The 21,625-nt window shown below is 38.1% G+C and overlaps 1 protein-coding gene across 2 annotated transcripts in view; it reads left to right on the forward strand.

Moving 5' to 3' along the window:
- Positions 1–21,625, forward strand: part of REC114 (REC114 meiotic recombination protein) — a 116,850-nt gene that overhangs the window by 85,078 nt on the left and 10,147 nt on the right. Inside the window, exon 3 of one of the 2 annotated variants that reach the window (NM_001042367.2) lies at positions 12,244–12,327. The exons of the other annotated variant lie outside the window; for it this stretch is intronic. Within the exon in view, the coding sequence (NP_001035826.1) occupies positions 12,244–12,327 (84 nt within the window). The remainder of the gene's footprint in view (positions 1–12,243; positions 12,328–21,625) is intronic. 2 annotated transcript variants of the gene reach the window in all.

Genomic DNA, 21,625 nt, shown 5'->3' on the forward strand with positions numbered 1-21,625 from the left:
AGAATGAATGAAAAAATTTAAAAATTACCATTTTGCAACCCCAGATGAATTAATGAGTGTAGGCAGTGATTATCAATGGCTGCTAATATCACAAAAAGAATAAAAAACCATTATGTACCTACTATGGAATCGAATACCTGTCACTTAGGAAGTAATCTTATAAAATCTGAGAAAAAAAAATCCAACCTGAATCTGCAAGCTTCTTGATCTACCGCTTTTTGAGAATTATAAGACAGAGTTACATATTAAAACACACCATGGAGATACAAAAACAAAATTTAGTGAGGGGACTTTAGGGCAGGGGTTAGCACACAATGCGTGGGACACATCTGGCCCATTGCCTGTTTTTGTATGGCTTTTGAGCCAAGAATAGTTTTTACATTATTAAATGGTTGAAAAAATTCAGAATATTTTGTGAATTATGAAAATTGCAGCGTTCATAAAAAGGTTTTGTTGGAACACAGCCATGCTTATTTGTTTATGTATTGTTTGTGGCTGCTTTCGTGCTACAAGGGCAGAGTTGAGTAGGTGCAGGAGTCTGTACAATCAAAATGCCAAAATATTTACTCACTGGCCCTTAACAACAAAAAAAATTGTCAATCCCTAATCTAGAGGACTAATGGCCTGGTTTCTTTAACAAAAAAATTCCAAGAAAAAGGATGAAAGGAAAAATCAGTAAGACTTAAGAGACATGACAAGTATCACAATATGTGGACCTTATTTGGATCCCTATTCAAAACACCATGTTTAAAAAACCAAGATCATCAGGAAAATGTGAACAGCAACAAAGATACTTGATGATATTACGGAATTGTTAATTTTTAAAGGTGTGATAATGATTTTGTGATTATATTTTAAGAGGTCCTTAGCTTTTTATTTTTATTATTTATTTATTTATTTTATTTTTTTTTTTGGAGACAGAGTCTCGCTCTGTCGCCCAGGCTAGAGTGCAGTGGCGTGTTCTCAGCTCACTGCAAGCTCTGCCTGCCAGGTTCACGCCATCCTCCTGCCTCAGCCTCCTGAGTAGCTGGGACTACAGGCGCCCGCCACCATGCCCAACTAATTTTTTGTATTTTTTAGTAAAGACGGGGTTTCACCATGAAAGCCAGGATGGTCTTGATCTCCTGACCTCGTGGTCCACCTGCCTCGGCCTCCCAAAGTGCTGGGATTACAGGTGTGAGCCACTGCGCCTGGCTGGTCCTTGGCTTTTTAGAGATAGATTCTGAAATATATACAGATACTTGGATTTGCTTCAGAATAATCCAGGGAGATGGGAGTTGTTGAGTGTGGATGTAAGTAAAATAAGATTGGCCATGTTATGAAAATTGTGACTGGAAGATGGGTGCGTAGTGTGATGGCTCATCACACTGTTTTACTATTTTCTCTAGCTTTGAATGTTTGAAAACTTAGAGTTTAAAATAAATCAGTTATTTCAAAATAAGTTTAAAAAATCAGTTCAAAGGCCATTTCCTCTGGACCTAGTAATTGAATGCCTCTTTTCTGTGCTTCTGTAGAATCATGGAACTTACCACATTGATTATTGTTGGGTGGTTATTTGTTTAACTTCCCCTAGACTCCCAGCTCCTTGAGGGCAGGGACCATTTGACTTTGATCTGTAGTGTCAGTTATAGGACATAGCACGTAATCTGGTACATACTTCTGGAACAAATATAATAACTTTTCATGGCATATCATGATTTCTAGATGATAAAAATTGTAAAACACAGTCGTCCTTTTTTGTTGACATTATTTATTTTTATTTACTTTACTCCTTCCAAATAGCCTATAGTTCAGCATGAAACCAAACTGGTTATATAGCTTTTATAAATCAGGAAAAATATAACTCCAAAATAAAGTAAGTTATAGAATGGGCATCTTAGTTTGAGCTATCTCAGTCTGAGATATGATATTAAGTGTGGAATAGGTACTTTGAAGTAAGGCAGGTATTGCTTCTCCAAGCACAATATTGTATGTTTCTGAATATTGCAGAAATATCCATATTCAAATCTAAGACCAAAATCTAATCAAACCAGCTACAAATTATTTCTATCTATCTTATTATTCCCTTTTGTTAGCTTAATACCTTAATTATTAGCTTAACCTAACAACTGGTTATGATTATTGAAAATTTAATTTTTGCCTGGGTGTGGTGGCTTATGCCTATAATCCCATCACTTTGGGAGGCCCAGGCTGGAAGATTGCTTGCGACCAGCCCGTACAACATAGCGAGACCCCATCTCTACAAAAAAATTTAAAATTAGCTGGGCATGGTGGTGCATGCCTATGGTCCCAGCTATTCAGGAGGCTGAGGTGGGAGGACTGCTTGAGCCCAGGAGATCAAGGCTGCAGTGAGTTATCATCGTACCACTGCACTCCATCCTTGGCAACAGAGCAAAACTCTGTCTCCAGAAAAAAGAAAATGTAATTTTAGAAATCCCAATCTTTTGCTTTGTTTTCCCTCTTCACATCGTTGTCTTCATATTTGTAGCAATTCTCTTATCATGGATTTTTTTTTTTCTGTTTTCAGTGAAATTTGATCCTCACAAACTGAGCTCCAGGATAGTGAGTCAGAAACACAACCCTGAAGCTTAAGCCAGGGTCTAATTTTTAAATAAATCACCTGGCACCAAAACACCTTCTCACATTCATCAAGAAGCGCTTTTGGTGTTCTGGGCCTGGGGACGAGGTGCACTGTGAAATGATCAGTCATCCAGTTACTTTTGTAACCTGATTCTCCTATGCTGTTTTCCTCTGAATCAGGGTTTTAACAGCAGGTGTGAACATTTAGAATTGTCATTTTCATAAAAATAAAATGCTGTTTTCTTCAAAGCATTTACAAAATCATAATGGGAAGATTTTAAAGCTAATTTACCTAGCTAAATGCCAGTGACACCCCATGATATTCTCCTGGCTTCCTTGCCCAAACTGGTAGGTGAAGTCAGAACTGAGGGGTGTCTGAGGTACTAATGGAACTAGCTCAATGGCAGAGTCAACAGCAAGGGAAACAGACTCAGTAGGGTTAAGGGCACAGGTAGTTTTTCCCACCATCTTTGGACTTCAGATTGTGTACATCTTATCTGTGCATCCATTTTCTTAGGTACTTTTCTCCCTTTCGTTGATGGCTTCCTTTTTATCTCTATGGCAAGTCTTCATTATGTATGATAGCAGGGGCCACGGAGTGCATGGATGACCACAATTTAGAAACGCACTTCATAATTTATAATGCATGAAAAGCAAAGCTTGAGATTCTCTTTATATGAAGTGTAGTGTGGCGCCCCATCTTGGTGGCATTCTGGCCACTGCCCCTCAGGCTGTGCCAGAACTGGGCAAATTAAGGGATGGGTCAAAGTGTGTTAGGAGGAAATGGGGGTGTCAACCATGTGCCAGAAATTGGCCCTCTTTCATTCAACAGACATGCTGGGCACAAAGATGAATGTACCCCAGTTCTTGATCTCATGAAGTTTGCAGTGAGGTGTAGGGGCTACAAAAAGAAGACAGGGTAGAAGCAACAGCCAGCCATTGCAGGGCACAGCACCTCCTGCTGCTAGACTCCATGCAGATTTGACAGCCCTTATTTCTACTCCATCCCTGTGCATCACCTGACACCATTGACAAGTTTCTCTGCTGGAAACTCTCACCCCTCTTAGCTTCCACATTACTCTGTCCTGGACATTAATTCTTGGTATTGGCTCTTGTTCTTTTGTCTGATGGTAAATTAGCATTTCCTAGAGTTCTCCACTCTTTTTTTTTTTTTTTTAATACTTTAAGTTTTAGGGTACATGTGCACATTGTGCAGGTTAGTTACATATGTATACATGTGCCATGCTGGTGAGCTGCACCCACTAACTCGTCATCTAGCATTAGGTATATCTCCCGATGCTATCCCTCCCCCCTCGCCCCACCCCACAACAGTCCCCAGAGTGTGATATTCCCCTTCCTGTGTCCATGTGATCTTATTGTTCAGTTCCCACCTATGAGTGAGAATATGCGGTGTTTGGTTTTTTGTTCTTGCGATAGTTTACTGAGAATGATGATTTCCAATTTCATCCATGTCCCTACAAAGGACATGAACTCATCATTTTTTATGGCTGCATAGTATTCCATGGTGTATATGTGCCACATTTTCTTAATCCAATCTATCATTGTTGGACATTTGGGTTGGTTCCAAGTCTTTGCTATTGTGAATAGTGCCACAGTAAACATACGTGTGCATGTGTCTTTATAGCAGCATGATTTATAGTCCTTTGGGTATATACCCAGTAATGGGATGGCTGGGTCAAATGGTATTTCCAGTTCTAGATCCCTGAGGAATCGCCACACTGACTTCCACAATGGTTGAACTAGTTTACAGTCCCACCAACAGTGTAAAAGTGTTCCTATTTCTCCACATCCTCTCCAGCACTAGCAAGGCAGGCCAACGTTCAGATTCAGGAAATACAGAGAATGCCACAAAGATACTCCTCGAGAAGAGCAACTCCAAGGCACATAATTGTCAGATTCACCAAAGTTGAAATAAAGGAAAAAATGTTAAGGGCAGCCAGAGAGAAAGGTCGGGTTACCCTCAAAGGGAAGCCCATCAGACTAACAGCGGATCTCTCGGCAGAAACCCTACAAGCCAGAAGAGAGTGGGGGCCAATATTCAACATTCTTAAAGAAAAGAATTTTCAACCCAGAATTTCATATCCAGCCAAACTAAGCTTCATAAGTGAAGGAGAAATTAAATACTTTACAGACAAGCAAATGCTGAGAGATTTTGTCACCACCAGGCCTGCCTTACAAGAGCTCCTGAAGGAAGCACTAAACATGGAAAGGAACAACCGGTACCAGCTGCTGCAAAATCATGCCAAAATGTAAAGACCATTGAGACTAGGAAGAAACTGCATCAACTAACGAGCAAAATAACCAGCTAACATCATAATGACAGGATCAAATTCACACATAACAATATTAACTTTAAATGTAAATGGACTAAATGCTCCAATTAAAAGACACAGACTGGCAAATTGGATAAAGAGTCAAGACCCATCAGTGTGCTGTATTCAGGAAACCCATCTCACGTGCAGAGACACACACAGGCTCAAAATAAAAGGATGGAGGAAGATCTACCAAGCAAATGGAAAACAAAAAAAGGCAGGGGTTGCAATCCTAGTCTCTGATAAAACAGACTTTAAACCAACAAAGATCAAAAGAGACAAAGAAGGCCATTACATAATGGTAAAGAGATCAATTCAACAAGAAGAGCTAACTATCCTAAATATATATGCACCCAATACAGGAGCACCCAGATTGATAAAGCAAGTCCTGAGTGACCTACAAAGAGACTTAGACTCCCACACATTAATAATGGGAGACTTTAACACCCCAATGTCAACATTAGACAGATCAATGAGACAGAAAGTCAACAAGGATACCCAGGAATTGAACTCAGCTCTGCACCAAGCGGACCTAATAGACATCTACAGAACTCTCCACCCCAAATCAACAGAATATACATTTTTTTCAGCACCACACCACACCTATTACAAAATTGACCACATACTGGGAAGTAAAGCTCTCCTCAGCAAATGTAAAAGAACAGAAATTATAACAAACTATCTCTCAGACCACAGTGCAATCAAACTAGAACTCAGGATTAAGAATCTCACTCAAAACCGCTCAACTACATGGAAACTGAACAACCTGCTCCTGAATGACTACTGGGTACATAACGAAATGAAGGCAGAAATAAAGATGTTCTTTGAAACCAACGAGAACAAAGACACAACATACCAGAATCTCTGGGACGCATTCAAAGCAGTGTGTAGAGGGAAATTTATAGCACTAAATGCCCACAAGAGAAAGCAGGAAAGATCCAAAATTGACACCCTAACATCACAATTAAAAGAACTAGAGAAGCAAGAGCAAACACATTCAAAAGCTAGCAGAAGGCAAGAAATAACTAAAATCAGAGCAGAACTGAAGGAAATAGAGATACAAAAAACCCTTCAAAAAATTAATCCAGGAGCTGGTTTTTTGAAAGGATCAACAAAATTGATAGACCGCTAGCAAGACTAATAAAAAAAGAGAGAAGAATCAAATAGACACAATAAAAAATGATAAAGGGGATATCACCACTGATCCCACAGAAATACAAACTACCATCAGGGAATACTACAATCACCTCTACGCAAATAAACTAGAAAATCTACAAGAAATGGATAAATTCCTCGACACATACACTCTCCCAAGACTAAACCAGGAAGAAGTTGAATCTCTGAATAGACCAGTAACAGGAGCTGAAATTGTGGCAATAATCAATAGCTTACCAACCAAAAAGAGTCCAGGACCAGATGGATTCACAGCCGAATTCTACCAGAGGTACAAGGAGGAACTGGTACCATTCCTTCTGAAACTATTCCAATCAATACAAAAAGAGGGAATCCTCCCTAACTCATTTTATGAAGCCAGCATCATTCTGATACCAAAGCCAGGCAGAGACACAACAAAAAAGAGAATTTTAGACCAATATCTTTGATGAACATTGATGCAGAAATCCTCAATAAAATACTGGCAAAACGAATCCAGCAGCACATCAAAAAGCTTATCCACCATGATCAAGTGGGCTTCATCCCTGGGATGCAAGGCTGGTTCAATATACGCAAATCAATAAATGTAATCCAGCACATAAACAGAGCCAAAGACAAAAACCACATGATTATCTCAATAGATGCAGAAAAAGCCTTTGACAAAATTCACCAACCCTTCATGCTAAAAACTCTCAATAAATTAGGTATTGATGGGACGTATTTCAAAATGATAAGAGCTATCTATGACAAACCCACAGCCAATATCATACTGAATGGGCAAAAACTGGAAGCATTCCCTTTGAAAACTGGCACAAGACAGGGATGCCCTCTCTCACCACTCCTATTCAACATAGTGTTGGAAGTTCTGGCCAGGGCAATTAGTCAGGAGAAGGAAATAAAGGGTATTCAATTAGGAAAAGAGGAAGCCAAATTGTCCCTGTTTGCAGACGACGTGATTGTATATCTAGAAAACCCCATTGTCTCAGCCCAAAATCTCTTTAAGCTGATAAGCAACTTCAGCAAAGTCTCAGGATACAAAATCAGTGTGCAAAAATCACATGCATTCTTATACACCAGCAACAGACAAACAGCCAAATCATGAGTGAACTCCATTCACAATTGCTTCAAAGAGAATAAAATACCTAGGAATCCAACTTACAAGGGATGTGAAGGACCTCTTCAAGGAGAAGTACAAACCACTGCTCAAGGAAATAAAAGAGGATACAAACAAATGGAAGAACATTCCATGCTCATGGGTAGGAAGAATCAATATCGTGAAAATGGCCATACTGCCCAAGGTAATTTACAGATTCAATGCCATCCCCATCAAGCTACCAATGACTTTCTTCACAGAATTGGAAAAAACTACTTTAAAGTTCATATGGAACCAAAAAAGAGCCTGCATCGCCAAGTCAATCCTAAGCCAAAAGAACAAAGCTGGAGGCATCACACTACCTGACTTCAAACTATACTACAAGGCTACAGTAACCAAAACAGCATGGGACTGGTACCAAAACAGAGATATAGATCAATGGAACAGAACAGAGCCCTCAGAGATAACACCGCATATCTACAACTATCTGATCTTTGACAAACCTGAGAAAAACAAGCAATGGGGAAAGGATTCCCTATTTAATAAATGGTGCTGGGAAAACTGGCTAGCCATATGTAGAAAGCTGAAACTGGATCCCTTCCTTACACCTTATACAAAAATCAATTCAAGATGGATTAAAGACTTAAACGTTAGACCTAAAACCATAAAAACCCTGGAAGAAAACCTAGGCATTACCATTCAGGACATAGGCATGGGCAAGGACTTCATGTCTAAAACACCAAAAGCAATGGCAACAAAAGACAAAATTGACAAATGGGATCTAATTAAACTAAAGAGTTCTCCACTCTTTCCTGTCCCACCCAGTACTATCAATTCTGAACCTCAATTTTTCTGCCTCAGCACTTTCCTGGGTTATGACAGACTCTCATCAATTAACAGTAACTTCCTTTGGCAGTGATTCTTGACCTGGTGGGGGAACAGTATCCAAAGCTCCAGTAGCAGAAGCTCCCTTGGTGATTTTGACACATTTCCCCCTCCTCTTGGACAGATTCTGTGTCTTATATTTTAACCCCTAGCACAGTGGCCAGCTGTGGTAGGAGCTCAGTGATGTTAACCGCATGTTTAATGGCAGTAAGCACAGCATGCTATGAGAACACAGAGCAGGTCACTTAATTGTGAGAAAGTCAGGAAAAGCTACAGAGAAGCTATCAGTTGAGCCAAACTGAATTCTCTAGATGGATAAGCCTTAAAAGAGATTCAAACAGGTGGATTTTCACAGCAAGGCAGATCAGTTATTGAAATTTATGTATGGCAAGTGGTTAGACACACAGGCTTCTTTACTAAATCTCAGCATTAGGAGGAAAGAACTCTTTCTGAATTTTGAACATTAGCATAAGTCAAATAAAAGTAAGATGTTCTATATCATTGGATAGGTAATAGATTTGTGGTCATCACTGCTCCCAAGAAATGATACTGGTCCTGGCATGAAATAGTCTAATTAATTTTTAAAAATAATTTCAATTTTCATTTTAGATTCAGGGGTACATGTGCAGGTTTGTTACCTGAATATATTGTGTGATGCTGAGGTTTGGGATACAAATGATCCCATCACCCAGGTAGTGAGCATAGTACCCAATAGATAGTCTTTTAATTAATTGTAATAAAGTGTTTCATTTATTCACTCAATAAACTTATTGAAGCACCTTCTAGTGTTAAGCACTATAATAGGTGCTATATATTCATTAGCGAGCAAAACGAACTTAGCCCCTTCCCTCTTGGGGCTTATAGTCTAGTGAAAAAATAGACATTAAGGAAATCACTACAAACACACAGACACAATGATAAATGCTATGAGAGAAAGTGGAATGTTGAGGGAAAGTACAACAGAGTCACCTAGTTGAGAGACTAGGCAAGAAGTGAACAATGATCAGAGGTTAATTAGGCAAAAAAATTAGGGGGAAGAGGCAGAAGAGATATAGGAAACTCCATGGCAAAATGGTTTGAACAAATCGATGAAGAGCCATAAAGCAGCTCAACTAAGAGTTGCTGTTGAGGAGGAAGGGCACACCCCTTCTCAGGTCCTGCTTCTGCCTCTTCCTTGAGTTCATGCCATATTGTAGTGGGTATCCCCCCCTGAATCAACTCCAGCGACAGTGGTCTCCTTGCAGGTTCCCAGACAGGCTATGCTGTTTCATGCCTTTTTAAAATTGTGGTAAAAAACATGCGACATGAAATTTACCCTCATTTTAAGTGATCAGTACAGTATTGTTAACTATAAGCACAGTGTTGTCCACAAATTTAAGCATTATGCATAAGCATTAAGCATAACATTAAACAATAATGTTGTCCAGCACAAATGTTTGCACAAATTTTCTCATACATGCATAAGAAGCTTACACAGCTCAAAAATCAGAGCAATGTAAAAAGGCATAGAGAAAGCTTTTATTCCCACCCCTGCCACATCTGCACTGTTCGCCTTCACTCCCTGCAGATAATATTTTTATTAGCCTCTTGTGTATTAGTCCTCTAGTTCTTTATGTAAAGAATATACATTGTTATGTTCTCTCTTATTAAAAAAGTAGCATATGATGGACATTGTTATGTAGCTTGCTTTTTTGCCTAACAATACGTGTTAGAGTTCAGTTTATATAGAGCTGCACTGTCCAAGATCAGTAGGAGTCATATGTGGCTGTGGAGCACTTGAAATGTGGCAGGTGCAACTAAAAATGGAATTTTAAATTTAATTTAATTTAAATTTAGATTTAAAAAATGAAAGCAGTGAACAATATTTTCCTATTAATCTCAACTTTATTGTTTTAGTAGGACTACATTTCACTTTAACTATTGAAAATCCAACATCCAAATTGAGATGTGGTATAAGTGTAAAACACACACTGGATTTCAAAGACAGTATAAAAAAAATGCAAACTGTCTCATTAATGTTTTACATCATTTACAATCTAGTCATCAATTTGTTCAGTGTTTTTTGATATAGTTGGCTAAATAAAATATTAAAACCAATTCTGCCAATTTATCTTTTTTTAAAAGTGATACTAGAGAACTTTAAATTACATATGTGGCTCAAATTCTATTTCTTTTTTTTTTTTTTTTTTTGAGACAGAGGCTTGCTCTTTCGCCCAGGCCAGACTGCAGTGGCGCTATCTTGGCTCACTGCAAGCTTTGCCTCCCGGGTTCACGCCTTTCTCCTACCTCAGCCTCCTGAGTAGCTGGGACTACAGGCACCCGCCACCGCACCCAGCTAATTTTTTGTATTTTTACTAGAGACAGGGTTTCTCTGTGTTAGCCAAGATGGTCTCGATCTCTGACCTCGTGATCCGCCTGCCTCGGCCTCCCAAAGTGCTGGAATTACAGGCGTGAGCCACCGCACCTGGCTCAAATTCTATTTCTACTGGACAGTGCTGATACATAACATTTACTACTTTTTACACCTGTATAGTATTCCATTGTATAGAGTACCACAATTTACTTAACCAATCCACCTTTGATGCATACCTGAGTTGTTTCCAATCTTATGTTTAAAAAAAAAAAAAAGCAGAAATGCTTACCCTTCTCCATGCATCACTTCATACATGGGCAGGTTGATCTGTAAAATGAATTCCCGGCATTGGGATTGCTGGGTCCAAATGTAAATACATTTGTAATTTTGATATTGCCAAATTGCCCTCCGTAAGCATTGTACCAATTTGCACTCCCACCAGCAATGTGTGTGAGTGCCAGTTTCCTCATACATTGCCACTTGAAACTACAATTAACTGTATTTTTGGATGTAATAATCAACATTTCTTTTTGCTAATTCTGAGAGGGTTTTAAGAAGAAATCATAAATGGTTTGTCTAACTTCTCTTTCCATTTGGAAAAAAAACCTATTGATAAAATGCTTAGAGGTAGCATTTCAGAACTGATTTTTTTTTTTTTTTTTTTTTTTTTTGAGACGGAATCTCACTCTGTCCCCCAGACTGGAGTGCAGTGGCGCAATCTCGGCTCACTGCAACCTCCGCCTCCTGGGTTCATGCCATTCTCCTGCGTCAGCCTCTGGAGTAGCTAGGACTACAGGCACCTGCCACCACGCCCGGCTACTTTTTTTTTTTTTTTTTTTTTTTTAAGGAAAGCATCAAAGAATTAACCCTCACTGTTTCCCAGGTTGTAAATTTCTATGAAAGTTGCAACTTTCACCATACTGAGATTTAGGCAGAGGGATTTTGTGAGGGTTCAAATGGATAAGGGACTACATTTTCTTCTGTTTTTTTAAGAGTTGGGGATTTCTCAGATTACTCCAGCAGCCTTCCCTGGCTGTGGTGGACTAACATTTAAGGGTAGACTGGCAGTTTCCATGCAATTTTTGCATATTGTCAGTTAATCTCCTGGATTGGTTTTACTGTATGCTAAACATATTCTAACTCAATGGGTTGCTTAACTGAGGAAACCAGTGACAACATAACTGGCGCTTAAGAGCTGCCATAATCATCAGATAGTTCATTCCACTGACTTTATTAGTAAATGGCAGAGAAAGTTTATCTTTTCACTTTATGGATCCAACTGTTGTCCCTCATTTGAGACTTGTGTGCCCTCTACTGCCCTCTTTGCCTTTTTTTGTTTTTTCAGATGGAAATGAAGAAGTAAACATTCAGTATCCAAAAGAAAACTGCTTTAAATTTTCCATTCATAGGAATATGAAAATAAGATTCTTATGAAGAGAATTCTTACTATGGAGTTAGAGACGTGCCAGATAAGTTAATAAATCAGTATAATGGAACCCTTGATTTGGGGGAATATAAAATATTTTGGCAAATCCTAGAGGCATAGAAAGGCATTTTATATCAAATATGACTATGGACACTTAACTATCTTTAGTATTGTATTGATTTTCAACATAAAAAGATTAAGAAAAAAAAGTTGTCTTACGTTCCTCATGCAGGAAAAGCACCAGGACATTGAGGACTTAGTATAAGGGTCATCCTTGGCAACTGGTTTTATTGAGTCATTGCTACTATGTTTGAGTTACACAATAAACAAATATACAACTTTCTAACAGGAAGTAGCTGCAGCCATAGCTATTCTTCATATTTTTGTTTCTGTTGCTAATTTTTGCCTAATTTTGTTTCAGGAAGGGTTTTCACTCATTGGTAGCAAGGACTGGTTGAAGATTGTAAGACGCGTGGATTGTCTGTTGTTTGGAACAACGATAAAGGCAAGATTTAAGCTAATGATCACACTCTTCTCATCTTCTATGTGTGTATGTTGGGGAGGTATTTGGGGGCATCTCTTGGTAGGTGACGGGTACTGGGAAGAATACAAATGTTTAAGAAAGGTTTGTACTATGAGAAAAACATGAAACAAGGACCGTAGAGAGGCAGAAGCCTCATTAGCAGGAGGACATTGCTAAGGAGTCAGGCTCTGATGGATTTCTCAGTATGCGTCTGATGGAGCTGTGCAGCCATTCTCTATCCCCCAAGCACAAATTGGAAGTGGAGTACATCATTTGTCTTGCGATTTGGATGTTTAAAAAGGTGTATACCTTCAAATGATTCAGTGAATATGTATTTTCATTTTTTCTTTTTAATATTAAAAAATTTCCCTTTTACTTGCTTTCTAGCTGTATTAAGTGTAAAGAATGATCTTCATCAAAGAAACAGTCATATTAATCACCTGGATCATTTTCCTTCAAAAATAACTATGAAAACCAATCTGTTAACATTCATGGAGTAGATAATATTGAAATTTAAGTGAAAGATACTAATTTTTGAGGGACTCAGACTCTGAGAGTTAGACGATTATCTAGTGGAGGGGTATTAACCTGGGGTACACAGACCCCAGAGTCTCCATAGAATTCAGGGGGTCCATGAACTTCCATGGATTTTCACTGACCTCTAATTGAAATGTATCATTTCCTTCCACTATGAATGTAAGGCCAGCAGACCACAGTAGTTTTAGACCTTCTCACTAATGGAAATCACAGATACTTTCATATCACATTTCAGTTGTTTCTGACATCTCAAATGTTTATGCTCATCACTACCTCAAAATTAAGGTGTTTATTAGTCCTCCTACTAGATCTTTATTATCAAATACATTAATAAAGAAGCATATATATTAGTTCACAAATTAGTGCCTTAATATTGTAATAAACTAATTCAGTATAATTGGTTTCTTTGTAAACTTGTGCATTTTGTGTGATTAAAAACATTGTTCTGAGAAGGGGTCCACTGGCTTACCAGATTGCCACAGGGATCTGGAGCACACACTCCAAAATGTTCAAGAACCCCTGTTTTGTTTCCCATATAAGGAAATTGACTTAAGCCAATAGCCCAGGTTATGACTAGCTATCAGAGAACCAGGCTGCCCTTTGATCTTTGGACTTAGCTCCAGACCATATCATACTGAATGAATGTATAGATCTCTGAAAAAGTTATACATGCTGTATGTTTGATACTTGAGTTTTAAATTTTTCTAAATATACATTATTACTAAAATTTTAAACTAACTACAAAGAGCAAAATAAAAATCAACCATAATTTGACCACTCAAAAATAATTATTAATATTCTGAAGGTTTTACTAAGCATATATACTATATCAGTTAGGATTGTGTTCAGATGCATGTAAGAGAAAAATCAGCTATAATGGCCTAAAAAACCAGATTTCTTTTTTTTTCACTTAAAAGGAAATCTAGGCTGGGCATGGTGGCTCATGCCTGTAATCCCAGCATTTTAGGAGGCCAAGACAGGTGGATCACCTGAAATCAGGAGTTCAAGACCAGCCTGGACAACGTGATGAAACCCCATCTTTTTTAAAAATACAAAAATTAGCCAGGGGTGGTGGTAGATGCCTGTAATCCCAGCTACTTGGGAAGCTGAGGCAAGATAATTGCTTGAACCTAGGAGGCAGAGGTTGCAGTGAGCCAAGATCGCACCACTACACTCCAGCATGGGCAACAGAGCAAGACTCTGTCTCAAAAAAAAAAAAAGAAAAAAAAAAAGAAAAAAGAAATCTAGAGACAGGCCCTTGCTAGCATCCTCCAGCAACTCAACAGTGTCCAGGTTGGCATCTCGGTAATTCTCCTGGCCTCTCCCTCTTGGGTGCAGAATGGTTGCTGCAGCTCTACTATATTTCCATTGAAGGAAGGTCAGCATCACCTGGCCCTTTTATAAGGAAAGCATCCACTTTCCTATATAGCTCTCCACCACCCACAACCCCCAGAAGATGCCTGCTTATGTGTCATGGACCAGTGTAATATGGCTGTCCCAAACTGCAAAGATTAGGAAAATGAGCGTTTGACATTTCCAGCCCCTCTTGTGGATTGGCTTGTGCTAATTGAGTGTCCACCATATAGATAATTTATAAAATGGGGATTGTAGTACTTTGTATCCTGTTCTTTTTATCAGGAACATTATACCAAGTCATTAGATAGTCTCTGAAAGAAAACACTCATAATGGCTTGGTAGCGTGTTATTGTTTGGATGCACTAGGGTTTAACTCATCGCTAATTTTTCACTATTATAAAAATGTTCTGATTTTCATAAGGATTTATTTACAGGGTTCTTGAGATAGAAGTCCTAGAAGTATACACTTTTTTTTTTTTTTTTATATAAATTTGCCCTCCCGATAGGTTGTCCCTGCTTCTACTCTACTGGCAATGTGTAAGAATGTTCATTTATCCAAATCCTCTCCAACGTGGTGATACAATTTAAATTCAAAAACTAGTTTCTAATTTGACAGGCAGAAATAAGCATATTCCTTTAATTTGCATTTCTTGTTAAAACTGATGAGAATGGTAATGTAACATTTGTATTTCTTCTGTTAATCACCTGCTTCTTTTGCCTAGTTTTTCTCTTCTTCAAACTACGTATAATTTGTGTAGCTATATAATTTTATATATTTGTGTATATACTGTATGCACAGACTTTTTAAACATTTAAAACTAGGAACCATTTGCCTGTTATTGTCAATGGTTTTTTTGTTTGTTTGTTTTTGAGACGGAGTTTCACTCTTGTTGCCCAGGCTGGAGTGCAATGGCGTGATCTCAGCTCACTGCAACCTCCTCCCGTGTTCAAGCGATTCTCCTGCCTCAGCCTCCTGAGTAGCTGGGATTACAGGCATGCGCTACCACACCCAGCTAATTTTGTATTTTTAGGAGAGACGGGGTTTCTCCATGTTGGTCAGGCTGGTCTCAAACTCCCGACCTCAGGTGATCTGCCCGCCTCGGCCTCCCAAAGTGCTGGGATTACAGGTGTGAGCCATCACACCTAGCTGTAAATGGTATTCTTTATCCCAAATATATTTTCAGCCAGTTATTATTGGATTTTTTTCTGAATTAGTTTAAATTTAACCTCCTTACTAAACTTTTATTAACTGTTTTTTAATTTCTAGGAAAGTGTTTTTATAATTTACAGACAATTGTATTTCTTTCCAATGATTTATATTTTTTATTACTTTCCCCACCTTACCGAATTGTCTAGATCTCCCAGAATGCTGTAATCATAGGGTTATAGTATCTTTGACGTCTTCCTGACTTGCATGGGAAGTAGTGTTTAGACATTAACTCCATCTCTGTCTGTTAACTGGCTTTTTTTTTTTTTTTTTTTTTTTTGAGAAGAGTCTAACTCTGTCCCCCAGGCTGGAGCAGTGTTGTGATCTCTGCTCACTGCAGCCTCAACCTTCAGGGCTCAAACAATCCTTCCGCCCCATCCTTCTGAGTAGTTAGGACCACAGGAGTGTGCCACCATGCCTAGCCAATGGTTCGATATTCTTTATCATGTAAGGCAGATTCTCTTTCAATTATAGTTTATTTAATACCTTTATCAGGATTACATATCATTTTATCAAATGCTTTTTGACAAGTATTAAGATCATGGGTTTCTTCCTCCTTTGATCTATTGACTTGATGTAATATGTTGACATTGAACCAACAGATTCTTCTTTTGCCCTACCTGGCAAAGAGTATCTGATGCATCTTGGCTTGGATAACTTTTAGTTTTCAAGTATTATGCCAAAACACTATTATTTAATTGACAAATGGAAGAAGTAAAATTTTCATTCCTTTTATAGCAATTTAATATAAATTCTATGAGTAGTAAACATTATATTTCTTTTCTCTCTGAACTGAAATAAGTAGGTTGAATAAATTCTGCCTACTTATAAGGTAGGCTTCCCTTTTTCCAGCAATTCTGATCAAATAGGGGGCTAACAATAGACATATAATTCCTTATCTTAAGGGCACTTTGGCTCAAAGAAGGAAACCCAAACAACCACTGTCCTCTTTACTTCTCACTCCCAGTAACTCACGGAGGAGTTTTTAAAATGATTTCGTCTAGCCAAGGCTTTGAGTATTGCCTTTTAGTTTCAAAGCAAAGAATCAAATAAAATGCTGAAGTACCTTCTCTGTTTAAGACCTTTTTCTGTACTTCCACATTTTCTATAGTAGAGGAATTCACAATTAGCGGTGGGGAAAACTGCTTCAGTTGGGGTCTTAGTGGTAATGGAAAATTTCTTACCAACCTGGGTGATGAATCTAAAACCAGCGGGAAAACCCACTGGGTTTTTATGAGGCCTCTAGTGTCTCCTTGGCTCTCTATGTCATGTTAACTGGGCTCCACATTTTCCAGGGCATGACGATGCCTTGGAACACCTACTGTGGAGCCTGTGGCCTAAGCATCTCTGTATGGAGATGCTATTCATACCTGTGAGCCAGCACTTAGTAGGCCTAATCCCTTTGTGAGTACACGTAGATAAGTGAAAAGAGATGAGCACTTATCCTTAAATTTGCTTCCTTGAGTCTGTATTAGTTGTTATAACTTGAAATTAAGTGTTCTGAAGGAGGGCAGGTGCAACTTTACATGTAAGCCACCACTTCAGATACAGTAATTATGAGCCCATCTTCTTAGGTGATAGAAACTAGAGACTGTATATTTGGCGAAGTTCGTGATTGTTGGTATACTTGAGAACTTTTCACTTCACAGCAAGAAGCTCTTTCTGACTTTTAATTATGGCATAAAAATAAATCTCATCAAGACTTTCAATCTTTAGCAGTCCCTCTGGTTAACCCAGTGGAAAGTTTTCCATTATGGTAACCTATGGCATTGAGGATATAGGATGGAGATACAACTAATTTTCAGATTTTTCCTGATGTACCTGGGTTTTATCTTGGATCCACATGCATTGAAGTGGTATTTCTGGCTTTAGATGATAAGCTCAAATTCTAAAATTTTTACAGAAGCAAACATGGAACAAGACTTCAGTTAGGCTATTAGACATGTAAACTACTCTGTTGCTTTTTTGGAATTATACTCCAAAAAAAACCCTAGCTATCCAAACTGATTATTATATACATTCACATATAGATACCTGTAGACTTATATAACTGGTCTCAGGTTTTTGCCCTGCTTGTATGCTTAGTGTCTGCTTGTGCATACAGCTTTTTAAAGCTAGCTATGAAATACAGTTGCTGATGTCACTGTCAGAAAGTTAATTGCAGAATCCTAATAGCTAATATAAGGGTACTTCATATAGATGTCTTCATATAGAGTCTGTTGGAAACAGCTAAATAACTGTAAACAAGAAATCAGTTTAATTTCACAAAAGAAGATTCATAGTAGTATTATAGATTGAATGTATAGGTCTCTTATCAGTTCTTTTCCCTTCCTCAGGGAAGGTAGGCTTTCAATGACTCCTGATAATCTGGGGATTATCCATCCAAGAGGAAAATGGCTAAGGGCATGAATAGGTAATACACTAAAAGAAAAAATACAAATGACCAATAAGCATAAGAAAGATAGTCAACCTCACTTGTAATCAAAGAAATGAAATTTTTAAAAAACTATGTTAACCTAGTATGTTGACAAAAATTTAAAAAAAGAATCTTCAGTGTCGGAGGGAAATGGGCACATAGATTCTTGGTGGGAGTAAATAAGCCCTGTCTTGCCACAGGGGAGTTAGGCATTATGTACCAAAATATGAATTACACACATCCTTTGACCCAGCAAATCTGCTTTTAGGCATGTATACACAAAGATGTATGTATAAGAGTGCTTGTTAAAGCTTTGTGGTTTATAATAGGAACAAAGGCTGGAAATAACCTAAATGTTCATCCATAGGGGGCCAGTTAAATAAAGGAATACTCTTCAGCCATTGAAAGTAATGAGGTATACTTCTATTTTTATATATTTGATGTTAAATTAAAAATTATGTTATAGAACAGCAATGTATTTTACATATACACACACAATATATATAACCTATAAAAATATATTTATCAGTGAACTCATTTTTGATAAAGGTTACAAGAACATACCCTGAGGGAAGAGACAGTCTCTTCAATAAAGAGTTCTGGGAAATTGCTGAGGCAGGAGAATCGCTTGAACCCGGGAAGTGGAGGTTGCGGTGAGCCGAGATTGTGTCATTGCACTCCAGCCTGGGCAACAAGAGCAAAACTCTGTCTCAGGAAAAAAAAAAAAAAAAAGAGTTCTGGGAAACTGATATCTATGTGCAGAAGGATGAAACAAGACTCCTATCTTTCACCATATACAAAAATCAAATAAAAATGGATTAAATACTTAAATCGAAGACCTCAAACTATGAAAACTACTACAAGAAAACACTGAGGAAACTCTCCAGGATGTTGATCTGGGCAAAAATTTCTTCAGTAATACCCCACAAGTGTAGACAACCAAAGCAAAAATGGACAAAGGGGATCACTTTAAGTTAAAAAGCTTCTGCACAGCAAAGTGAAGAGACAACCCACAGAAGGGGAGAAAATATTTGCAAACTACCCATATAACAAGGGATTAGTAACCAGAATGTATAAGGAGCTCAGACAACTCAATAGGGAAAAAAAATCTAATAATCTGATTAAAAAATGGGCAAAAGATTTGAATAGACATTTCTCAAAAAGCAAATGGTAAACAGGTATATGAAAAGGTGATCAACATCACTGATCATCAGAGAAATGCAAATCACAACTACAATGAGATACCATCTCACTCCAGTTAAAATGGCTTTTATCCAAAAGCCAGGCAATAACAAATGCAGGAGAGGATGTGGTGAAAAGGGGACCCTGTTAAATGGTTGGTGGGAATGTAAACTAGTACAACCATTATGGAGAACAGTTTGGACGTTCCTCAAAAAACTAAAAATAGAGCTACCATATGATCCAGCAATACTACTGCTGGATATGTACCCAAAAGAAAGGAAATCAATGTATCAGGATATCTGCACCCCCATGTTTGTTGCAGCACTATTCACTATAGCCAAGATATGGAAGCAACCTAAGTGTTCATCAGCAGATAAATGGACAAAGAAAATGTGGTACTTATACACAATGGAGTACTATTCAGCCATAAAATAGCCATACACAGAATGGGTATAACTGGCTAGCCATACACAGAAATACAAAAATTAATTCAAGATGGATTAGAGACTTAAATGTAAAACCAAACGCTATAAAAATGCTGGAAGACAACCTAGGCAGTACCATCCAGGACACAGGCACAGGCAAAGATTTCGTGACAAAGATGCCAAAAGCAATTGCAACAAAAGCAAAATAGGATCTAATTAAACCAAAGAGCCATGCACAGCAAAAGAAACTATCAACAAAGTAAACACAAAACCTATAGAATAGGAGAACATTTTTGCAAACTATGCATATGACAAAGGTCTAATATCCAGCACCTACAAGGAACTTAAATTTACAAGAAAAAAACAACTCCATAAGAAAGTGGGAAAAGGACATGAATAGACACTTTTTTTTTCTTTTTTGAGATGGAGTCTTGCTGTTGCCAGGCTGGAGTGCAGTGGTGTGCTCTAGGCTCACTGCAACCTCCACCTCCCGGGTTCAAGTGATTGTTCTGCCTCCGCCTCCCGAATAGCTGGGACTACAGGCATGCGCCACCATGCCCAGCTAATTATTGTATTTTTACTAGAGACAGAGTTTCACCATGTTGGCCAGGATGGCCTCGATCTCTTGACCTTGTGATCCTCCTGCCTTGGCCACCCAAAGAGCTGGGATTATAGGCATGAGTCACTGTGCCCGGCCTGAATAGACACTTTTTAAAAGTAAGACATACATGCAGCCAACAACTATATGAAAAAAAGCTCAGTATTACTGATCATTAGAGACATGAAAATCAAAACCAGTGAGATACCATCTCATACCAGTCAGAATGACTATTACTAAAAAGTAAAAAAATAACAGATGCTGGCGAGTTGTACTTATATACTGTTGGTGGGAGTGTAAATTAGGTCAGCCATTGTGGAAGACAGTGTGGCAATTCCTCAAAGACCTAAAACACCATCTGACCCAGCAATCCCGTTACTTGGTATATAATCAAAGGAATATAAATCCTTCTGTAATATTCACACATGCATGTTCTTTGTGGCACTATTCACAATAGCAAAGACATGGAATCAACCTAAGTGCCCATCAATGATAGACTAGAAAAAGAAAATATGGTACATGCACACCATGGAGTACTATGCAGCCATAAAAACATGAAATATTTTTTGTAGAGATGGATGGAGCTGGAGGCCATTATCCCTAGCAAACTAACACAGGAACAGAAAACCAAATACCACAAGTTCTCACTTATAAGTGGGAGCTAAATGATGAGAACACATGAATACATAGAGGGGAACAACACACACTGGGGCCTTTTGGAGGTAGAGGAAGGAGAGGATCAGGAAAAATAACGAATGGGTACTAGGCTTAATACCTGGGTGACGCAATAATCTGTACAACAAACTCCCATGACACAAGTTTACCTATGTAAAAAACCTGCACTTGGACCCTTGAACTTAGAATAAAAGTTAAAAAAAAAAATTATGAGATCTTGTTACTTACAACAACATGGATGGAACTGGGGGTCATTACGTTAAGTGAAATAAACCAGGCACAGAAAGACAAACATCACATATTCTCACTTATTTGTGGGATCTAAAAATCAAAACAATTGAACTCGTGGAGATAAAGAGTAGAAGGATGGTTGCCAGAGGCTGGGAAGGGTAGTGGGGATGGTTAATGGGTCCAAAAAAAGAAAGAATGAACAGGACCTAGTATTTGATAGCACAACAGGATGACGATAATGGAAATTTTTAAATACACGAGTATGGTTGGATTGTTTGTAACACAAAGGATAAGTGCTTGAGGGGATGGATACCCCATTTTCCATGATGTGATTATTACTCATTGAATGCCTGTATCAAAACATCTCATGTACCTCATAAATATATACACACCTATGTACCTAAAATTTTAGAAATTAAATATACATGAGTGTTTGTATATATTCTTTTATACACCCACAGATATATATGACTCTTCATATTTTTTCCAATGTTGGATAAGATAATGATAATGGATGACTTTTATATTCAGGGGGAAAAATTAAATGAATTAAAATATAAAGAGTACCAAATACTGGCAGTGAAAAGGGGCAGTGGTGCCTATTCTTCTAAACATGATAGCTTACCATTATCTCAGCCATGCCAAGAGTTTTC

The sequence above is a fragment of the Homo sapiens genome, chromosome 15 (genome assembly GCF_000001405.40).
Source record: "Homo sapiens chromosome 15, GRCh38.p14 Primary Assembly".
NCBI classification, from domain to species: domain Eukaryota; kingdom Metazoa; phylum Chordata; class Mammalia; order Primates; family Hominidae; genus Homo; species Homo sapiens.